At 42.1% G+C, this 21729-nt stretch overlaps 1 annotated feature.

The window, feature by feature from the left end:
* Positions 624-1157: an enhancer, noted in NCBI's record as "NANOG hESC enhancer chr17:14462906-14463439 (GRCh37/hg19 assembly coordinates)". NCBI's record gives its function as "activates a minimal SCP1, AML or CMV promoter by ChIP-STARR-seq in naive H9 embryonic stem cells {active_cell/tissue: H9 hESC(naive)}" and the evidence as "EXISTENCE:reporter gene assay evidence [ECO:0000049][PMID:30033119]".

Here is a 21729-nt window from a genome sequence, read left to right on the forward strand (position 1 = left end):
AATTGTTTTTCAGAAGCTATACCAGTTTACATCATATCCTTTCTGACATTGAATGTGACCATTAAAAAAAATAGTCTATTTAACAGGTGAAAGACGGTATTTTATTGCCTTATTTTGCATTTTTTCACTAGAAAGAATAAATTCTTCCTGCATTAGTGTTTGTATTAATATTACTAATAAATAAATACATGAGTTTATCTGAACCAAGCTATGTCTTAGCAGGATGTAAGCTTAAGACCATCGGTTACAAGAAATAATCGTGGAGTCTTTGTGTATGAAAAGCCCCCTTTTTACAGGGATGGAAATGTTTGGAATGACGTTACAAATAAGATGCTGTTTTTCTAAACATGGCACACTCTTGCTTAGTGCTGGCAAATGCTAGGTGGGTGATTGAGCGGGAAACTTGCTGAGCTCAGCATCCTCTTATCTTCTTCCTCTTCCTGACCACCCCTACCCTCATTTTAGATCTTAATCTATTCAGTTTTACAGATGCTGAGATCGCTCCCAATCCGCCCACACATCTGGTTAGATTCGTATTTCCCTGGCTGGCTTGTATTTTACCAGCATCTGTCAACCCTATTTACTTCTTAATTGTTCTTTGGGCATTTGGAGGAAAAGCCTGCCTGGGGATCTACACACTCACATGAAAACTGTGCAAACGAGTCACAGGCTGGGACACCTTTAGAAAGAGTGGTTAAAGTTGATTTTTTATTATTTATTGTTGAGCTGTTGAGTCATCATAAAATCAACGTCCAGCTGATGGCTGTCTTTGGTCTTGTGCAGTCAGCTGTCCCCGTGGTGCAGTGCATGATTCCTGCTGGGGCCCAGGCATTTGAAGAAATAAAAAAAAAAAGGAAAGCCACCAGGTCCCCCTGAGGCCATTGGCTTGTTTTATGATGCAAACACCTGTCTCATTTTATATTGACTGCCCTGTGACCTAAAAACAAAAGCAGAATTTGTAACACCTCCAGGTGCAATAGCACCCACAGGATCTAAATAGAGCACCAGAGAGAAAGCAGCTATAAGTCACCAAAGATTAGCTTTGATACCCAGTGAGTGGAAAATACGATTCTCTCCAGAGACGGGTGTGGGCACTGTTCTTATTTAACCTTTTTTTCCCCAAATAAATGATCCAGACAAACAGGCACCATGAAATCTTTAAATTGGCAGATGGCACAAAATTATCCAGAAAGTGCCTTGCCACACTGATGGTCATAAATGGCAGGAAGAGTTTTGGAGTTTGAGTGAATGGGCAGGAATGTGGCAGATGAGTTTCAGTGAGATGAAGTATCTGGTAATGAACTAAGGCAAAAATAATTACTGGGGACAGAGAATGGGCTGTGGGGTATTGGTTACAATCTGAAAAAGAGGTCTGGCAAAATTGGGTTGGGTTTTAGGGATAATCTACTATGTGCTGTCAGAACTACTATGAAAATATTGTGTGGCACCAAATGAATATCGGTGACAAGTTGGAGATCTTCTACCATTGTCCACAAGATCTGTAATTCTTATTTTTTTCTTTTTTTTTTACTTTCTTTTCTTAAATTATTTATTTATTTATTTATTTATTTATTTATTTATTTATTTATTTTATTTTTGAGACAGAGTCTCGCTCTGTCACCCAGGCTGAAGTGCAGTGGCATGATCTTGGCTCACTGCAACCTCCGCCTCCTGGGCTTAAGCGATTCTCCTGCCTCAGCCACCTGAATAGCTGGGATTACAGGTGTCCGCCACCGCGCTCGGCTAATTTTTGTATTTTTTTTTTTTTAGTAGAGATGGGGTTTCACCATGTTGGCCAGGCTGGTCTTGAACTCCTGACCTTAGGTGATCCACCTGCCTTGGCCTCCCAAAGTGCTGGGATTACAGGCGTGAGCCAGCGCGCCCAGCCTAAGATCTGCAAGTCTATAGAGGTTTTATTTGTCTCATTTTAATGATGACCTAATTATCAGGACCTTCTGGTGATCTTACTCTTTCCTGAATCAGAATTTGGTTCACATCTGTGCTTCCGTCTGTTTCCAAATTGCATTGTACCCAAATGTCCTCAACCAGTCAGAGATATAGATCAGGCCTCTGCATTGAGCACGGAGCTGGCTTTCTCCCCTCTTTGTTTCTTAGGTCTTGGATGGCTATTTCTTAGACCAGTACTATCTGACTGCTTTTCTTGCCTCGGTTGTCCTCCCAAAGCCTGACCTCTCCTTACCTGTGTAATAACCTGATCTTTCTCCCAGACTGAGTCTCTGATCTATGGGGTTTGGCAGAGCTCCCTCGGCTACGCGGTCTCCTATTGCTGTCTTCTTCCTGCCTCCATGCCTCAAGGAGCAGCAAGGTAGCAGGAGAAGGTAAACACAATAGTTAAGCGATGTAGTGGACATTTGTTGGTTACTTTTCCACAGCCATTGCCTCTTCTCCTTTTTCCATTGGGACCTCAAATTTTAAAGCACTATGACTTGGGGTGAGATTGAGCCCATCCTCAGCTCTAAGGTGAGACCTAATTGGCTTAATACAATTCAGCTCCTTCATTCTATTCCCCGACCATTGTCTTTGATTCAGTGGTGAACGTCTCATTTCAGGCCAAGAAGCCAAATGGAGACATTTACTAGAACTTCTAGTAAAGATATTTCTCTCTTTTTTTCTCAAAAGATCTATAATTTTCTTTCTTTTTTTTTTTCTTTTAGACAGACTCTCGCTCTGTCGTCCAGGCTAGAGTGCAGTGGTGCAATCTCGGCTCACTGCAGCCTCTGCCTCCCAGGTTCAAGTGATTCTCCTGCCTCAGCCTCCCAAGTAGCTGGGATTACCGGTGCACGCCACCACACCTGGCTAATTTTTGTATTTTTAGTAGAGACGGGGTTTCACCATGTTGACCAGGCTAGTCTCAAACTCCTGACCTCAAGTGATCCACCCGCCTTGGCTTCCCAAAGTGCTGAGATTACAGGCGTGAGCCACTGCACCCAGCCAAGATCTGTAATTTTCTGTCCCCATATCCCCACTCTCCCCATGAGAGAGAAGCCAGCTTTTCCGGGAGACAGGTTGAAAGCAGAGAAGAGAGAGAAAGAAATGGAAACTAGGATGTAGGTGCTAGCATTGAGTTACCGGATCAAGCCTTACCTGAACTCTGCCTCCTCAGGTTGCATGGGCCATATATTTATTATATCTATTTCATAAACTTTCTAGCCAGTACAGTTCAGTACCCATAGAAGGAACAAAGGTATACATGTTGAATCTCTAAAATTTTCCAGAGTTAAACATTTAGGCCATTTAGCTTAGCATTGGATAAGAATTAGATAAGACAGTCAGGAGATGAGGGCTTATGCAAGCTGATGCTCTGAACCTTTTACCTCTGTGTGTTCCCTGGCAAAACTTCATCTAGCAAGACCATTTATCTGGCACCAATGCTGGTTCTAACACCCCCTCCATGTTCAAGCAAACCTATGGGTTTCAGCCTAGACTACGAGAGAGAAACATTGATACTCAAACACAAATGCAGTTTAACAACCTGGAGGCTATTGGATGATTGTCAAATTTAGACCCTGCTCAAATTTCTTCTTTGGTGAAGAATGCATGGAGCCTGAAGAGTTTTTAAAGTTTGGCTTCTGTTTCACGCTAACCAAATGCATCTCTTTAGCAGAGAGGCAACTTCCTTTGAATCCCACAAGGTATTTTGGACACTGAACAGGCTCACGAACCCATCTCATGAGCAAAGTGTAAATGAACCCAGAAACACCAAGCTTATGTTTTTCTTAAAATAAACAAGCATAAACAATTTACAGAAAAAAATTCTCAGGGGCAAACCACAGTTGGATGTTAGCAGATTTCAAAACAATTGAAAAATGATTGAACACTTCTTGCGGATCCCAAGACATCTGCAAAATTGCTCAACATTTTTGTGGCCTCCTGGATCTTCAAGACCCCCAAGTATGCATTTATCTACCCAGACAAATCCCCAGCCCACTCAGTGCAAGTAAACTCATCAAGGAAGCATTAGGGTGACTGAATGGCAATTCACCGGGCAACCTGTTATGTTTCTGGCCCATGTCTTCTTGTAAGTCTTCTTATTTATCTTTTTCCATCATCAGGAATGACCTTGAGCAGATCCTTTTCTGTCTTACACTTAGAATTCTCTGAGGAAAGAAATGCTAATACACCCTTCAATAGCCTATTCTATTTTTCCATAAACCTGATGCTCCCAGGAGGTTTTCTTCCACATTACAATTTCTTAAAATCCCATTTGCTTGCTGGGTGCGGTGGCTCATGCCTATAATCCCAGCACTTTGGGAGGCCGAGGTGGGCAGATCACGAGGTCAGGAGCTCAAGACCAGCCTGAAGCCTGATCAACATGGTGAAACCCCGTCTCTACTAAAAATACAAAAATTAGCCAGGCTTGGTGGCGTGCGCCTGTAATCCCAGCTACTCGGGAGGCTGAGGCAGGAGAATCGCCTGAACCCAGGAGGCAGAGGTTGCAGTGAGCCAAGATCATGCCACTGCATTCCAGCCTGCGAGATAGGGTGAGACTCTGTCTCTAAATAAATAAATAAATAAATAAATAAATAAATAAATAAAATAAAAAATAAAAAAAATCCCATTTACTCTTTTTCTTCATCATAATTCTTTGAATATTTGGAAGTGGTGTTTAGGAAAACCTTCTCCTTTTGGAATTAAGTAATCATCACTTTTCTTGCAGTTCTGATTTTTTGACACTGTAACTATCTTCCCAGTTCCCACTATCTTTGCTCCCTCTCTGGCGATTCCTATGGGGCAGACAATGAATGACCAGCCACAAGATACTGACACCTACCTATTTCCTCTCTGAGTTTCAGCTTTAGGGAGATTTCTGGAAATTACCAAGGTAACTTCTTGGGCTCACCCTTTCCCTGCAGGCTTGGGAGAAATCTTAAATTAGTTTAGTTTTATTGCCATACTTGGTATAACTCAGTTAAAGCAATCTTATTCATGGAAACATCTCACAGTAGGTTGGATGTTGATTTAACTAAAATACTACATACAAATCAGGGAAATAAGACAACTGAAAGGCTTGAATTGTATTTGGCATTCTTTAATAGTTCCCAGGTCTCATAAAAACCATGAGGGAGGTGGCAGGATGAAGAAATTGAGCTGTTAAATCAGACGAAAGCCGAATGTGGAAGAGGCCTCATCCTTGGAAGGGAGTTTCTTGTCTATTGCTGACCCCCATGAGGAAGAGAGAAAAACATTTCATTTACTCTTTTGAAAAGAACATAACACTGGAAAACTCTTAATATTAGATGCTGACAACCAGCTATTTCCTGTCATATACACTAGTCTATACATTTTTTTTAAGGGAAAACAATTTACTAGTTCAAAAGTAGACATGTTAATCATGGGGAACATTTTGAAAAAAATGGAAGAAATGAAAACAAGAAAATTAAAAATTTTTCATAATCTTATCACATGGAGACATATAATAGTTTTTTATAAGTCTCTAGTGCTTGATTTTTATTATGATTCTTTTTCTTTCTCTCAAAAACTAAAAATTGAAATCATGCTGAATATATTGTGTTGTAACTTACTTCTTTCATGATAAGAATTATTCTTAAACAGAATATTATTTGATGTCTGAGTTATAAAGTTAGATCATATCTCTAAAAGTTTTTGTTTTTTTTTTTCTGGCTACCATAAATCATGCTTTCATAAACAAACATCTCTGGAACTAAATCTTTATGCCGAGCCAACATCTTTTCTATTTCTATGTATTTCGATGTATTTCTAGAAGTTAAATTACTGGGTCAAGGAGATGCAAAATTGTAGAGCTTTTAAATATAAATCTCCAGGAAGACTAAACCCACCAGCAAGGTATAAATGTTTCATCACACAAATTCAGTATATTTTAATTAAAATTTCTAATTTATAGATAAAATAATAGCTCATGGGTTTTATTTGATTATTAAGGAGTTGAGTATTTTCTTTTTTTTTTTTGAGATGGAGTCTCGCTCTGTCACCCAGGCAGTGCACGATCTTGGCTCACTGCCAGCTCTGCCTCCTGGGTTCATGCCAGTCTCCTGCCTCAGCCTCCCAGGTAGCTGGGACTACAGGTGCCCGCCACCACGCCCGGCTAATTTTTTTGTATTTTTAGTAAAGACATGGTTTCACCGTGTTAGCCAGGGTGGTCTCAATCTCCTGACCTCGTGATCCACCTGCCCCGGGCTCCCAAAGTGCTGGGATTACAGGCTTAAGCCACCGCGCCCAGCCAAGAGTTGAATATTTTCAAGTAAAATATTGCCATTTACATTCATGTGCTTTGCCTGGTTATCAATAGTAAGACATACTTAAAAAAAATTTGTTAATTTAATTTTTGCATAGTAAGTATAGCAATTCTATGCTTTCTCTCATATGTTGAAAACATTCATTTTAACTGTAGATTGGTGCTTATTTTTGTATAATACCATTATTAAGCTATAAATGATACTATTAATTAAACTACAATACTATTAACTAGACTACATGTATATTTTCTTGGACTGATCTGTATTTGGAGATGTATTTTGACAATATTTTAAATTTCTTCTTCAGCATTTTTACTTGGTTAGTCAATTTTAATAACTTTCACTTTTATAGAAAATCATTCATTTTATTCAGATTTCAAAATAATTAATATTGCATTTTTGTTGTTGTTGTTTGTGTTGTTTTTGGAGAAGGAGTCTTGCTCTGTCACCCATGCTGGAGTGCAGTGGCGCGATCTTGGCCCACTGCAACCTCTGCCTCCCGGGTTGAAGTGATTCTCCTGCCTCAGCCTTCCAAGTAGCTGGGACTACAGGTGCATGCCACTATGCTCGACTAGTTTTTGTATTTTTAGTAGAGATGGGGTTTCACCATGTTGTCTAGGCTGGTCTCGAACTCCTGAGCTCAAGCGATCTGCCTGCCTTGGCCTCCCAAAGTGCTGGAATACAGTTTTAACAATTACTCTATAAAAACATTTGCAGTCTCCTTTATGTCTGTCGTGTATGCCCTTTCTTAATTCTGATAGTGAAATTGATTTCCTTGACTTTGGCTTGGAGTTTGTCCATTTTATTAGTCCCCTTAAGGAATCAGCTGCAGAATTTTAAGAAATCTGTTCTGGGATTTTTTTTAATTATGATTTTTTGGTCTTACTCATTTATTAGTTAATATTTACTGCTTTCTTCCTGCTTGTCTTCTTGAGTTATTCTTCTATTCTCTCAAGTCCATTTTAGTATCAGATGTTGGAGCCTCCTTGCCCCATACACCTTTCATTGCTGGGCCCTCCCCTAACAGCTCACACCTGCATTTTCTTTCCTTTTTTTTTTTCTAAAAAGTCACCTTTTCAATGAAGCCTTTCCAGCCATTTTATCTAAAATGTCAATAAATCCCTTCTCCTGTCTCCAGATTCTCCCCCTGACTTCCTGGTTTTATTTCTCTCATTAGCACTTAATCACTAAATATGCAATATACTTTACATATTTATCTTATTTATTTTTTGTCTCTTCCACCAGCCTATAAGCTCCACGAGAGCAGAGATTTTAATCTATCTTCTTGTTCACTGCTTTTCTCCCCAGCTTTTAGAAGAAGTGCCCAGTTTATAGTAGGTGCTCAATAAAAATTTGTTCACTGAATGAATGAATGAAAGAAACCATGACACCTCAAGGCAGGAAGCTTTGAATAGTAGAGCTCAAAGAGTCAGCTCCATTTATGACAATCACTTTCTTAAGTTCTTCAGTTTTACTGTACATTTTACCTTTCTCATGTCTTGTCTTAGAGTCTTAAAGTTGTTTTCATGGCTGGCGGGTGATAGTGAGATATGAGAGAACCTGGGGTCATGAAACATGAAGCTCTTCTTGCCATAGCCACCCTTCTACAAGGGTATAGGATACACATGTACAGGAGACAAGGCCACAAGGCCATACTCTTTTTTTTTTTTTTTTTCCAAAAGAAAACAGGGTCTTGCTCTGTTGTCTAGGCTGGAGTGCAGTGGTGCGATCTCGGCTCACTGCAGCCTTGACCTCCTGGGTACTAGTGATCCTCCCATTTCAGCCTCCCAAATAGCTGGGACTACAGATGCATGCCACCATGCCCAGCTAATTTCTAAAACATTTTTTGTAGAGACGAGGTCTCCCTATATTGCCCAGGCTGGTCTTGAATTCCCGGGCTCAAGAGATCCTCCTGCCACTGCCTCCCGAAGTGTTGGGATTACAGGTGTGAGCCACCATGCCCGGCGCAAGTCCATACTCTTGATTCAAATGATGATTGTGCCCCAGACCCAGTGAGGTACCCTGGACCATGGGGAAAACTTTTTTGACCAGGAAAAGGGGGGCAGCTTTTCCTTATCTCTTACCCTACCCTGGAATCTTAGTCTTTTTTGTATTTCCCTCCTCTAATCGTTCAGAAACAGTCCCTTCCTTGAAGGCACACCTGCCAGTGAGAAGAGCCTTTGCCTGAAATGCCTAGGCCTGAACATAGGTCCAAAGTAAGAATTCTCATCCCAGATCCCTTTGACCTCTTCAGCCACGTAGAAAAGACTTCCAAGGGACCATGACAAGAAGGCTCAGAACTTTAGCCACTCTTCTCTATACCCCAAATCTCTCTTCCTATCACTAACTTTCTGTGCCCACAAATGTGAGGACTGGTGAATAAAGAGGAGCAGGCACAAAGGGGACCTTGAACAACCTCCCCCTCCATAGTCTAAGAGCCACAGAGTCCTGTAAACAGGGAATTGTAGATCTGGGAGGGAAGCATTACTTCTGAGAGGAAGCCCGTTTCGTTATCAGACAGCTGTCCTCCTTGTAGATAGGTAAAATGAGTTTGCCAGAAAGTTCTACATTTCCTTTCTGATGGAACTCCCGTGAGTCAAACAAGCCAAATATACTCATTCAGCAAGACTTTTACTTGTATAGTTCTGTTTAAAAGGGAATGCCCAGGATTAGACAAAGTACCCCACACACATCTTGAACAGAGCAGATTGCTAGCTTATATATAATATGAACAGTTTTTCCAGAGTGGAAAAGACAATGTGGCAAAGGAAGACTCTGGAATTCATATCCTCGCAAGGGACCATTTGTCCCCAAGGGGATTTTATGTGGTAACTGTTTTGACTAGTTGAAAACCATTATATGGATCTGCTCATTGTCTTTTCATGATGGATGAGGGGTCCCGGAGGTAGATTTTTGCTTTCTATGAAGATGTGCTTTCCAAGAAATTGGACTGTTAAACAATGAACAGGGTGACTATGTAAGAACAGAGTGTTTTATTCAAACAGAATCTGTTTGACCATCTCTTCAGTCTCCTGTAGAGAGTTTCATGCATGGGATGAGTTTGGACTAGGTGGTCTCTGAATTCTTTTATATCTAATTCTTTCTCCTTTTTTATATTTAGAAATAAACCCAGACTGTTAGGAGAAAGCAAAGATCAGAGAAGCATGAACATCAAGGCAGTTCTGTAGCCATTTATTTCAGCCCAGCAGGCTGGGGTATGACAAGGTGGCTACACCCTGCCCACTTCTACTTTCTGGGGCCCTGATATGCATGGCGGGCACCTGAAAAATGGGCAAAACCATAGTCCCTCCGTCCTACAACACTTGTACAACTCCCACTGAAGACTTTCCTGCTACGTTGGAACCTAGAGCCAGTGGCCGGGCGTGGCGGCTCACACCTGTAATCCCAGCAATTCGGGAGGCCGAGGCAGGTGGATCACTTGCGGTCAGGAGTTCGAGACCATCCTGGCCAACATGGATAAACCCCATCTCTACTAAAAATACAAAAATTAGCTGGGCGTGGTTATGCATGCCTGTAATCTCAGCTACTTGGGAGGCTAAGACAAGAGAATAGCTTGAACCAGGGAGTCGGAGGTTGCAGTGAGTTGAGATCACACCACTGCACTCCAGCCTGGGGAAAGAGCAAGATTCCACCTCAAAAAAAAGAAAAAAAAAAAAAAAGAACCTACAGCTGGAAACTGAATTGTTTACCCAATTATATTAGTCTTCTGGGGCTGCTGTAATAAAACGCCACAAACTGGGTGGCTTAGAGCAACATAATTTATTCTCTCACAGTTCTGAAGCCCAGAAGTCCTACATCAAGGTATTACTGAGGCCAATGCCTTCTCTGAGACTCCACGTGGAATCTTCCCTGGCCTCTTCCTAGATGTTGCCAGTGGCTGTCAACCCTTGGCATTCCTTGGTTTGCAGCTGCATCACTCCAGTCTCTGCTCTTGTCATCACGTGGCAGTCTCTTCCTGTGTCTTTACATTGTCTTCTAATAACACCAGTCATATTGGATTAAAAGCCTACCCCACCCCAGTATGGCCTCCTCCTAACTCAGTTACTGTTGCAATGACCCTATATTCAAATAAGATCACATTCTGAGGCACTAGGGTTAGGATTTCAACACATCTTTTTGGAGGACACAATTTGTGTTTCCCTGTTTTTGCATTGCTGTAAAGGAAGAACAGGCTGGATAATTTATTTTTAAAAAGAGGTTTAATTAGCTCACAGTTCTGCAAGCTGTACAGGAAGCAAGGCACCAGTATATATTCCTGTGAGGGCCTCAGAAAGCTTACAATCATGGTAGAAAGCAAACGAGGAGCAGGTGCATCACATGGTCAGAGCGGGAGGAGCGGGGGGTGCCACATACCTTTAAACGACCAGATCTTGCATGATCTAATAGAGTGAGAACTCACTCATTATCAAGAGGACAGCACCAAGTCATTCATGAGGTATCTGCCCCCATGTCCCACACACCTCTCACTAAGCCCCACCTCCAACATTGGAGGTCACATTTCAACATGAGATTTGGAGGGGACAAACATCCAAACCATATCATTCGGCCCATGGTCCCCCTAATCTCATGTCCTTCTCACATTGCAAAATATAATAATCTCTTCCCAACATCCCCCAGAGTCTTAACTCTCTCCAGCACCAACTAAACCAAAAGTCCAAAGTCCAAAGTCTCATTAAGACATGAGGCATGTTCCTTCCACCTATGAGCCTGTAAAATCCAAAACAAGTTATTTATTTCTAAGATAAATTGATGGTACAGGTATTGGGTCAACATTCCCATTCCAAAAGGGAGAAATTGGCCAAAAAAAAAAAGGAGGCAACAGGCCCCCAACAATTCTGAAACCCAGCAGGGCAGGCATTAAACCTTAAGGCTCCAAAATAATCTCCTTTGACTCTGTGTCTTGCCTGCAGGACACACTGAGCAAGGGGTGGGCTTCCGAGGCCTTGAGCAGCTCTGACCCTGTGGTCTTCCAGAGCACCACCCCTGTGGCTGCTCTTATGGGTTTGAGTTGATTGCCTGTAGCTTTTCCACACTCAGACTCTCACGGTTTTGAGTTGAGTGCCTGTACCTTTTATCATCAGCAACTTCCAATGGCTCTACCATTCTCAGGTCTGGAAGGCAGTGTTCCCATTCCCACAGCTCCACTCACTAGGCAGTGCCACAGTAAGGACTCTGTGGGGGCCACAACCTCACATTACCCCTTGGCACTGCCCTAGTAGAGTCTCTTGGTGGGAGTTCTGCCCCTGCAGCAGGCTTCTTCCTGGGCACCCAGACTTTCACATACATTTTCTGAAATCTAGGGAGAAGCTTCCAAGCCTCATTTACTCTTGCATTCTGAGGACCTGCAGGTTTAACACCATGTGGTAGCCTCCAAGGCATATGGCTTGCACCCTCTGGAGCAGTAGACTGAGCTGTACCTGAGGACCTTTGAGCTGTAGCTGGCACTAGAGCAGCCAGGATGCAGGAAGCAGTGTCTCAAGGCTTCACAGGGCAGCAGGGCCCTGGGCCTGGCCTCCGAAACCATTCTTTTCTCCTAAGCCTCTGGGGCCTAGGATGGAAGGGGCTGCTTCAAAGATTTCTGAAATGCCTTAAAGATCTATTTCCCATTGTTTTGGATCTTAGCGCTTGGCTTCCTTTTAGTCATTCTAATCTCTCTAGCAAGTGATTGCTCCACAGCCTGCTTGTATTCCTCTCCAGAAAATGCTTTTTCTTTCTTTGTCACATGGCCAGGCTGCAAATTTTCCAAACTTTAATGCTCTGCTTCCTTTTTCAACATAAGTTCCAATTTCAGGTCATTTCTTTGCCCCCACATTTGATTGTAGGTTGTTTGAAGCAACCAAGTCATATCTTGAATGCTTTGTTGCTTAGAAATTTCTTCTTCCAGTTACCCTAAGATATCATTCTTAATTTCTTTTTTTTTTTTTTCTTTTTCAGAGACAGAATCTTGCTCTGTCACCCAGGCTGCAGTGCAGTGGAGTGATCTTGGCTCACTGCAAGCTCCGTCTCCTGGGTTCACACCATTCTCCTGCCTCAGCCTCCACAGCAGCTGGGACTACAGGTGCACGCTGCCACACCTGGCTAATTTTTTGTATTTTTAGTAGAGATGGGGTTTCACCTTGTTAGCCAGGATGGTCTCAATCTCCTGACCTTATGATCTGCCCGCCCTGGCCTCCCAAAGTGCTGGGATTACAGGAGTGAGCCACCGCACCTGGCTACTCTTAATTTCAACCTTCTACAGATGCTAAGGACATGGACAATGCAGCCAAGCTCTTTGCTAGGGCATAACACAGGTGAGGTGACCTTTACTCCAGTTCCCAATAACTTCCTCATTTTCATTTCAGACCTCATCAGCCTGGACTTCATTGTTCATATTTCTATCAACATTTTGGTCACAACAATTTAACAAGTGTGTAATAAGTTCCAAAGTTTCCCTCATCTTCCTATTTTCTTCTGAGCCCTTGAAACCCTTCCCACATCTCCCCATTACCCAGTTCCAAAGCTTCTTCCACATCTTCAGGTATCTTTACAGCAACACCCCACCCCTCAGTACTAACTTTCTGTATTAGTCTGATTGTGCATTGCTATAAAGGAATACCTGAGGCTAGATAATTTATAAATAAAAGAGCCAATAAAAATTGGCTCACAGTTCTACAGAGTGTACAGAAAGCCTGGTGCCAGCATCTGTTCCTGGTGAGGGCCTCAGGAAACCTACAATCATGGCAGAAGGCAAAGGGGGAGCAAGTGTGTCACATGGTGAGAGTAGGAGTGAGGATGGTGGTGTGCCACACTCTTTTAAACAACCAGATCTCACATGAATTAATAGAGTGAGAGTGAGAACTTACTCATTATTGAAAGTACAACACCAAGCCATTCAAGAGGGATCCACCGCTATGGCCTAAAAAGTCCCCACTAAGCCCATCTCCAACATCAGAGGTCACATTTCAACATGAGATTTAGAAGGGACGAACATCGAAATCATATCACAATTCAACTTATAACACCAAATAAAATGAAAGATAGAAGGAAGAATAAATCCAACAGAAAAAGGAATAAGAACAACACGTACTTCTTCCATGCATTTCTTGGTGCATGGATGTTTTCAACTCTGTACAGGGTTAAGGCAAAATGTAGAAAGAAAAGAAAATGCTATGGTGGAAAATAAAAGGATCATTTAATTTTATACAGCACCTTTTCTCTAGGGTTTTTTAAGTATACAGTCATTGTTATAAATGTTGTATGTATACTTGTGGGTTTGTCTATAAGACACATAGAAAATTGCTTTAACTACTTGTCGAGGGAGGAAAAGAAAATAAATCTTTTGAACTGATTTCCAAGATAGGATATTCAGGTGATTAGGATTCTTTACATAATCCAAGATCAAACAGGCTCTTATTAGAGGCTGGTTGAGAGGCAGGACACTGAACTTTGAATTGAAGTTAAAATGTAAAACATTTCATGGTGAAGGAGAGGAACAGAGTGGATAGCATTATGGCCCCAATTTTTTGCTACTCCTGCTTTGCACATGTTTTGCCCTGTGGCTTTGCAGTTGCCACGACACTAGAAAATGTGACTTGATTTGGCCAAAAGAAGGACCCATACCCATACTGTGCCACTTCTGAGTGTATGCATCAAGAGACTCCACATACGTTTTGTTCAATATTTGTGTTTATGTCATTAACATAAGAATATGCTTGGGCTGAATGGTCCAAGGAAAATGTTTAGAGTTACGTGAAACCGTGTTAAGACCCACTGAATTCAGCTGATCCCCACCAACTCACAGATCTTTGAGAATAAATTATTGTTGCTTCAAGTCACTGAATTCTGGGGTAATTTGTTATATAGCATTACTTTGGCCATAGTAATGATATAGGATAAAAGGAATATGATTCAGAGGGTTAGGAGAAAAAAAATGCAGTTACTTTTGATTTACCTGTGGCTGCTATTCCAGGGTGCTCTTTTGAGGCATGATTACTTTACGCACCTTTTACTTTGTTAGTTACCTTACTTTTTAAAATTCAACGTCCCCTGGGAATTTGTTGGAAATGTAAATTCTAAGACTTACTCCCAGATTTACTGAATCAGACACTCTGGGATCGGGGACCCAGCGTCCATATTTTAACTAGCCTTCCAGGTGATTTTAACACCCAGTAAAGTTTGAGATCTAGTGCTCTCCATGCAATAGAATCATCTAGTGGGCATTCACAAGACATAGAAGAAGCCTAAGTTCCACACCTCCCTTCCCCCAGATCCTATTTAAGTGCTTCAAAACCTCTCCAGGTGATTCTAATATGCAGCCAAATTTGAAGACCCCTTTTCTAGAGGGACTTAATCTAGAAAGTAATTTGCTTCAATTTGACACTGTGTGTGAGAACAGCACTTGGAAATAATAAAAATTGACACAACCATTGAGGTCAACCAAATCAATATGAAATTTTGTTCACCCGATCGAATACTTTTATCTTCGTACCCATCCATCAAGACCTTGTTCGTGCCTTTGACACAGGAGATTTGCCTTCTCATGTGCTGTTCCTGTGGTCTAGAATAATTTCCCCTCTTCGGCCAGGCGCGGTGGCTCAGGCCTGTAATCCCAGCACTTTAGGAGGCTCAGGCGGGTGGATCACGAGGTTAGGAGATGGAGCCCTTCCTGGCTAATACGGTGAAACCCCGTCTCTACTAAAAAAGATACAAAAAATTAGCCGGGGTGGTGGCGGGCACCTGTAGTCCCAGTTACTCGGGAGGCTGAGGCAGGAGAATGGCGTGAACCTGGGAGGCAGAGCTTGCAGTGAGCCAAGATTGCGCCACTGCACTCCAGCCTGGGCGACAGAGCGAGACTCTGTCTCAAAAAAATAATAATGATAATAATAATTTCCCCTCTTCATTTACCTGGTTAACACTTATTTATCCTTCAAAATCCCTTTCTGCCCCTCCCAAGTTGAATTATCACTGCCCCCTTTGTTCTAAGAAATTCTTACCTCTCTTAGCACTTCTTATGTTTATAATTGCGATTATTTTCTCTTTTACTAGACCATGAGCATCTTGATGTCAGTACCCATTTATTATTCTTTTTTTTTTAAATCTCCAGAAACACAGAGAAAGCTCTTTGTGTGCATATTGAATGAAATGAGTTCATTCTATGGCTATTCTTTGTAGGCCACCTCTTCAGCACTTCTGGGATTTTTTATTGTCAGTTCTTCCTCTGAATACACTACATATGCCAAATATAATCCATTAAAACTAGATTCTCTTCTAGGTTTTCTTCTCAGTACTACCCCCTGTTTTTTTTTTTTTGTTTTTTTTTTTGTTTTTTTTTTTTTTTGGTAGAGATTAGGTCTCACCATGTTACCCAGGCTGGTCTTGAACTCCCGGGCTCAAGCAATCCTCCCAGCTTAGCCTCCCAAAGTGCTGGGTTACCATCATGAGCCACTGTGCCCAGCCAGCACTCCTTTATTCCCAATATATTATCTCCCTGAATGATTTCATTAATTTGCACTGGTGTGTGGATTGACTCATAAATCCACATTTCTTGACCCAACCCTTCCCTTGAGCTCCAGAACTACATTTCTAATGGCCTCCAAGAGTAAATGGATGGTTTGCTCAGACTCTAAAACCAACATATATGAAATAAAACTTTCACCTTCCCTGAAGCCCTAGCTTTTCCTTTCTGACTTCCCAGGCGCTAATTAGAACCACTACTAATCAGTCAGTAATTCTAGACAGCTAGGCACAGCAGCGAGGCCATCGCCAACTTTCTGGGGTCCATGCTAGAGTGGCATTTCACCCATTGATTTCCCCAAATTCATTGCCACTGCTTTATTCACATTGTCACTGTCTTCACCCACCCTTGTAATAGGATACCGATAGATGTCCCTTGATTCCTGTCTCTTACCTTTGCATTCAAGCTCCATATTACCAGAATTATCTTCTTGAGAGAAGAATCAGATAAGAAAATTACCTTCCTTATAACCTCCCAAACTTGCATTTAGCTTCTCCTCCTTTGGCGATAGTAACGGATATTTGCTGCAAGCTTGGAAAATGAAGCGACGTTTCAACTTGGTCATGCCGACTTGCTTTGTTTCATGGGCCCCCCTCGTCTTCCCTGGGGCTGCCCTGTTTCTTCATACTCCTCAGACTCTGGGCCCCTGAGTTTTTCAGGAGGTGCCAGAGCATCGCCGGCAACACCTAAGAAAGGTCATCTTTTTGACCTCATCATTATTGCGTACTCTCATTAAGGGCAAAGATCAAATCTTTTGCTTAGCCACACTTGTCAGCTAAAGTTAGCACAAAACCGGGCAACAGAAGCCTCTGAGGAAATCCTTCTGAATGAGTAGGTGTGAGAAAGATAAATAAATAACAGAGGTCCCTTGGTCAAAGCAGCAGAGCTAGGCAGCTCTCTGAAGCTGCGAAAGACCCTGGGAGCTTTGCTGCAGCGAAGTGCCTAGTCTGGAATTGATGGATGCATTTTGCATCTGGGCTTCTAACCAGAAGAGCCTCTCCTCACTTTAAGGAATGTGAAATTGAAGGCTCACATTGCTATGTGAAGCCAGAGGGCTTTTCAGTACAATGCAACATCATGTTCTACTTACCGAATGGTGGGGCTTTCCCTTCACATGGGGATTGGCTCTGAACCTGAACGGGCTGTGCCAACGGGAGATTCCTTGATGTTCCTTGCTGTTCATGCTCCATGTTTCTGTTCAGTGGAGCATCCGATTACCGATGTGGACCAGGCTCTGTTCGGCTCCCTCCTCACACTTTATTGCTCATGATTTTCATATGTTTTGGGTCCATTTTCAAGTCTCCCTCCACCCCCTAGTCTCTGCTCAGCAGGGCTATAAAAATGGATCCTTTCATCTCTTCGCCAGCAACAATCCTCCCCGCTCCCTTGATCATTTGGCTAACTCATCTCTGAACTTCGTCCAAGCTGTCTGTCTACTCAGGATTCCTTGTCTCCCCAACCAAGATCAGTCTCCCAGGTGTGGTGGATGATTAGTACAGAGGAAGGAGTTATGTACACTGTGATTAGCACAGTAATAACCGTGATGTTAATAATAATAAGAACTCAGTGCTGACAATGCACCTGGACTATAGCAAACAAGAGGAAGACGTTGTTTTAGCCCAGGGAGATGATCTTTCATTCTTTTTATTGTAACATTTATAATTCTTTTTCTCATTATGCCAGTAACATTCATTCTTTGTGAACATTTGAAAAATTCAGGAAAACATAAATATATCAATATCAATTACCTATAATCCTGCCATGCAGAGATAACCACTGTTCTGTAACTACTTTGGTGTTTTGTGTTTAGATATGTTTGCTACACACACTTGCAGACTCACGCAGAAAAATACAATGGTTGCAGATGGATTTCAAGCTGTATATTTAATTTTGTATCCTCTTTCCCTAATACCATATCAAAAAGATTTTTCTTTATCATTAGATATTCTTCTATAGCATATTTTAAATGGTTATATAGAAATGTATACTGAGTGATGTGTTTGGCCATTTCTTTATGGGTGGACTTGTGGACTCTGTCATTATGAAAATACTGTGGGGAAGAAGCATGGGACAGAGCAAGTGAAAGTGACCCACAGAAATAGCCTGTCATCGGGACAAGAGCTGGCAGCAAGCTCAATTCCCACACACTCAGTTCTCACTTGCCAGGAAAATGGGGAATGTATAAGCACTGAGCCAGTCAGGTGGGAAGGAAACACCATTTTATTTTTTTTTTTTTTTTTTTTGAGGCAGAGTCTCGCTCTGTTGCCCAGGCTGGAGTGCAGTGGCACAATCTCGGCTCACTGCAAGCTCCGCCTCCCAGGTTCACACCATTTTCCTGCCTCAGCCTCCCTGGTAGCTGGGACTACAGGCACCCGCCACCACACCCGCTAGTTTTTTGTATTTTTAGTAGAGATGGGGTTTCACTGTGTTAGCCAGGATGGTCTCGATCTCCTGACCTCGTGATCCGCCTACCTCAGCCTCCTAAAGTGCTGGGATTACAGGCGTGAGCCACCGAACCCAGCCAGAAACAGCTTTTTAAGTGAGCTGAGAAAGGGGTATGGAGCAATCTTCCTTGTGTCTAGACCTTAACCCTTTAGCCGAATAAACAGAGATGACCTAGAGGGGGTGAGGGAAGGGCAACAGCCTGAAGAATTAGCAGTCTTGCCCACCCAGCCTCATGGGGCAGTGGAGGGTCTCACCCACATCTCAGAGCTTAAGTGGGAGTTATTGTCCCAGCACAGACAATCATGACCTACCCTAAGAGATAAACCAATATGGTGATAAAATTGCCTTCGCGGATGTAAGATATTCTCTGGAGGGAGAGACTATAGCAGGTCAAATCTACTTCAATGTAAAACATCGACTGCTTCTGTTTTACTTTCTTTTCATAGCTGTATTAGAAAGATCCAATCCTTCCTGGGGGGTTGGAATGGGGATTACATGTAAAGGGGCCTGGGGGAGTTTGTTGGGGGAAATGCAAATGTTCTAAATCTGATTTGTGGTCATGATGTACTTCTTAATAAGGTTACCAAAAATTATTGAATTAAACATTATCATATGTAAAATATACTTCCAATAAAGCTATTAAAAATAGAGCTAAAAACATCTAGCTTAAAAAAAAAATCTAGTGTGAAACAAAGAAAATAGACCCTTTTTTGAGCATTGAATAGATGCAAGTTGAGAAACCCGGAAAGACTTGTGAAAAGCAAGATGGCGGCCTGCACAGTAGATCCCATCCATGTGGTGTCAGGCATAGAAAGCTGTACCCCAGCCAACTGAATATAGCTGGAATTGCCCTAAGACAAACTTTTGTCCTAGCTTTTTTTTTCCTCGCAAATGGCTTGTCATTTTCCATCTTTGTCCAGCAGTAATTTTATCTTTAGGGACAAAGATTGGCCATCTAAAATTAGATTAGGCTTTGATTTTTGCTGGCTATGTGAGTTTGGGTGAGTCGCTTAACCTTCCCGGGACTTGGATACCATGTCTGAGAGTGAGAGATGATGACTGGCTCTCAAAGGCCTGTTGAGTTTTAATATTCCTCTAACTTCATGATTCCTGCTTTGTAAACGATTATTAACACATTTTTATAGCCAATTTTCTAGTCTCTATTGTGCTCAAGAACAACTGTAAGTCATGAGTATATTGTAAGATTAAATGGAATAATAGACCTGAAAGAGATTTGCTGACAAAAAACAACACCTATATCTCTGGGGATGTAAAATGGTTAGCACAAGGCATTATCCTGACTTCCTCCCAAGTCAACCTTTAATATTCTTCCAAAAACGTACCTCCTAATGTTGGAGAAATGGTTGTCATCGGCTGGACTTGGTTGGGCTGAGTTTTGCTGATTTTTTTTTTTTTTTTTTTTTTGAGACGAAGTTTTGCTCTTGTTGCCCAGGCTGGAGTGCAATGGCACAATCTCGGCTCACTGCAACCTCCAGCTCCCAGGTTCAAGGGATTCTCCTGCCTCAGCCTCCCGAGTAGCTGGGATAACAGGCATGTGCCACCATGCCCGGCTAATTTTGTATTTTTAGTAGAGATGGTGTTTCTCCATGTTGATTAGGCTGGTCTCGAACTCCTGATGTCAGGTGATCTGCCTACCTCAGCCTCCCAAAGTGCTGGGATTACAGGCACTGGCCGCACCCAGCCAAGTTTTGCTAATTTTTTGACCTGATCTTTAAAACAAAAGTTCTCTCCACATACATGAACATTAATAATATCCTCATTGCAAAGTAGAAGAAAACAACAACAAGAAGAGCAAGTTGAAGGATCTTAACTGAGTACCTAAAAGGGGTAAAGAATTCCAGAAAGCAAATGGTTGGTACAAACAAGTGCTCCACAATGCTCAGGTTTTGCTTCTCTGTGAGCCTGCAGAACAAGTCTGTTCTCTTGCCATACCCCACAGGTTTCATATGTCATTCTTCACAAGGCCCTTCCAGAATGGACACCGCCAAGCAGGTATATGGTTCTTGGAGTTGGTGCTTCATGTTGACAGTGCAGCCATTTCATCATCTGTGAAAATGTGGCGGGGGGGCGGGTGTGGTGGCTCACACCTGTAATCCCAACACTTTCGGAGACCGAGGTGGGCAGATCACTTGAGGTCAGGAGTTCGAGACCAGCCTGGCCAACATGGCGAAACTCTGTCTCTACTAAAAAAAATACAAAAATTAGCCAGGCCTGGTGATTAGCCACATGCCTATAATCTGGCTACTGGGGAGGCTGAGGCAGGAGAATCTCTTAAACTCAGGAGGCAGAGGTTGCAGTGAGCCAAGATGGTGCCACTGCACTCCAACCTGGGCAACAGAGCAAGACTCCATCTCAAAAAAATAAAACATAAAACAAAAAAAAAAATGTGGCAGGGAGCACTGGTGGGCTTTGGTAAAGGCTGAACCTGGGACTCACAGTTCAAAATGAAATGCAATGGGGCATCAATCAGAGATATGTAGATATATGTAAATATATTAGATTTTTAATGCTACTCTGAAATGCCAGTTTGGCCCTCAAACTTATGCTCTCATCAAGTGGCCAGCTGCCAAATTGATACTTTGTTTTTTGCTGCCCAGACAGAGCCTAAGAACTAAAAAATCCTTTTTTTTAACTTCTTGAGTGCTGGCTTGTATTTGCACAATAAAGCTCAACATCTTGCTGTAACAGCCTTGCTGGCTGCATTCGTATAGCCCTTCCTTGGTAGAGAGTGATTGTGGCTAGAAGCCCTGAGAACAGAAGTGAAAGGTTAAGCTCACAATATAGGCTTTCGTTCCAGATGGGGTGGGTTACTTTGCAGGACAGTTGAGTCTGAAAGGTGAAAATGAAATAAATACATCTTCTCTCTCAACGCCTTTCCCATTCTCCCTGGGGGTTTGAATGAAGAGGATGTTTTCCAGATTGAAAAGGATCACCTGCCAAAGTTAGCTGCTTCAACAGGTTGGTTCATTCCGTTGCTCATTCCTTCGTTCACACTCTCTTCTAAATACTCATTCATTCATTTTCCTCCATGTTTTCCCTCATTTTTCTTCCATGTTTTCTGGCACTCAGCTTTATAAACACTTGCTGACCCGCCTGTACGTGTCCAGAGCTCTAGCTGGCTCTGGTGACACAAAGATGAATAAGACATGGTATTTTCTTCCAAAACACTCACTAAGGAAAGACAAATAAAAACACATAATTGCAATCTTGTGGGATGAGGAATACCACAGAGGCTTGTAATGAGTACAAGCATGGAATAATTAATCCTACAGGTGTCACTATCCGGCAAAAAAGTTCTTTTGACCATCACATAAAGTGATTATTGTGGTATGGTCACATAGACAGCTTATCTTTCTCATGGATACAAGCATTTGACGATAGAAGGAAAATGCACTTCTGAAAAGTTATAATAACACACACACACACACACACACACACAGTTTATTAAGGCAGTCGATCTTCCAGGATTTCTCCCAAGCTGTTCTCCCTCTCTTACTCACAAGTGTGGAAGTT

This window comes from Homo sapiens, chromosome 17 (assembly GCF_000001405.40).
Source record: "Homo sapiens chromosome 17, GRCh38.p14 Primary Assembly".
NCBI classification, from domain to species: domain Eukaryota; kingdom Metazoa; phylum Chordata; class Mammalia; order Primates; family Hominidae; genus Homo; species Homo sapiens.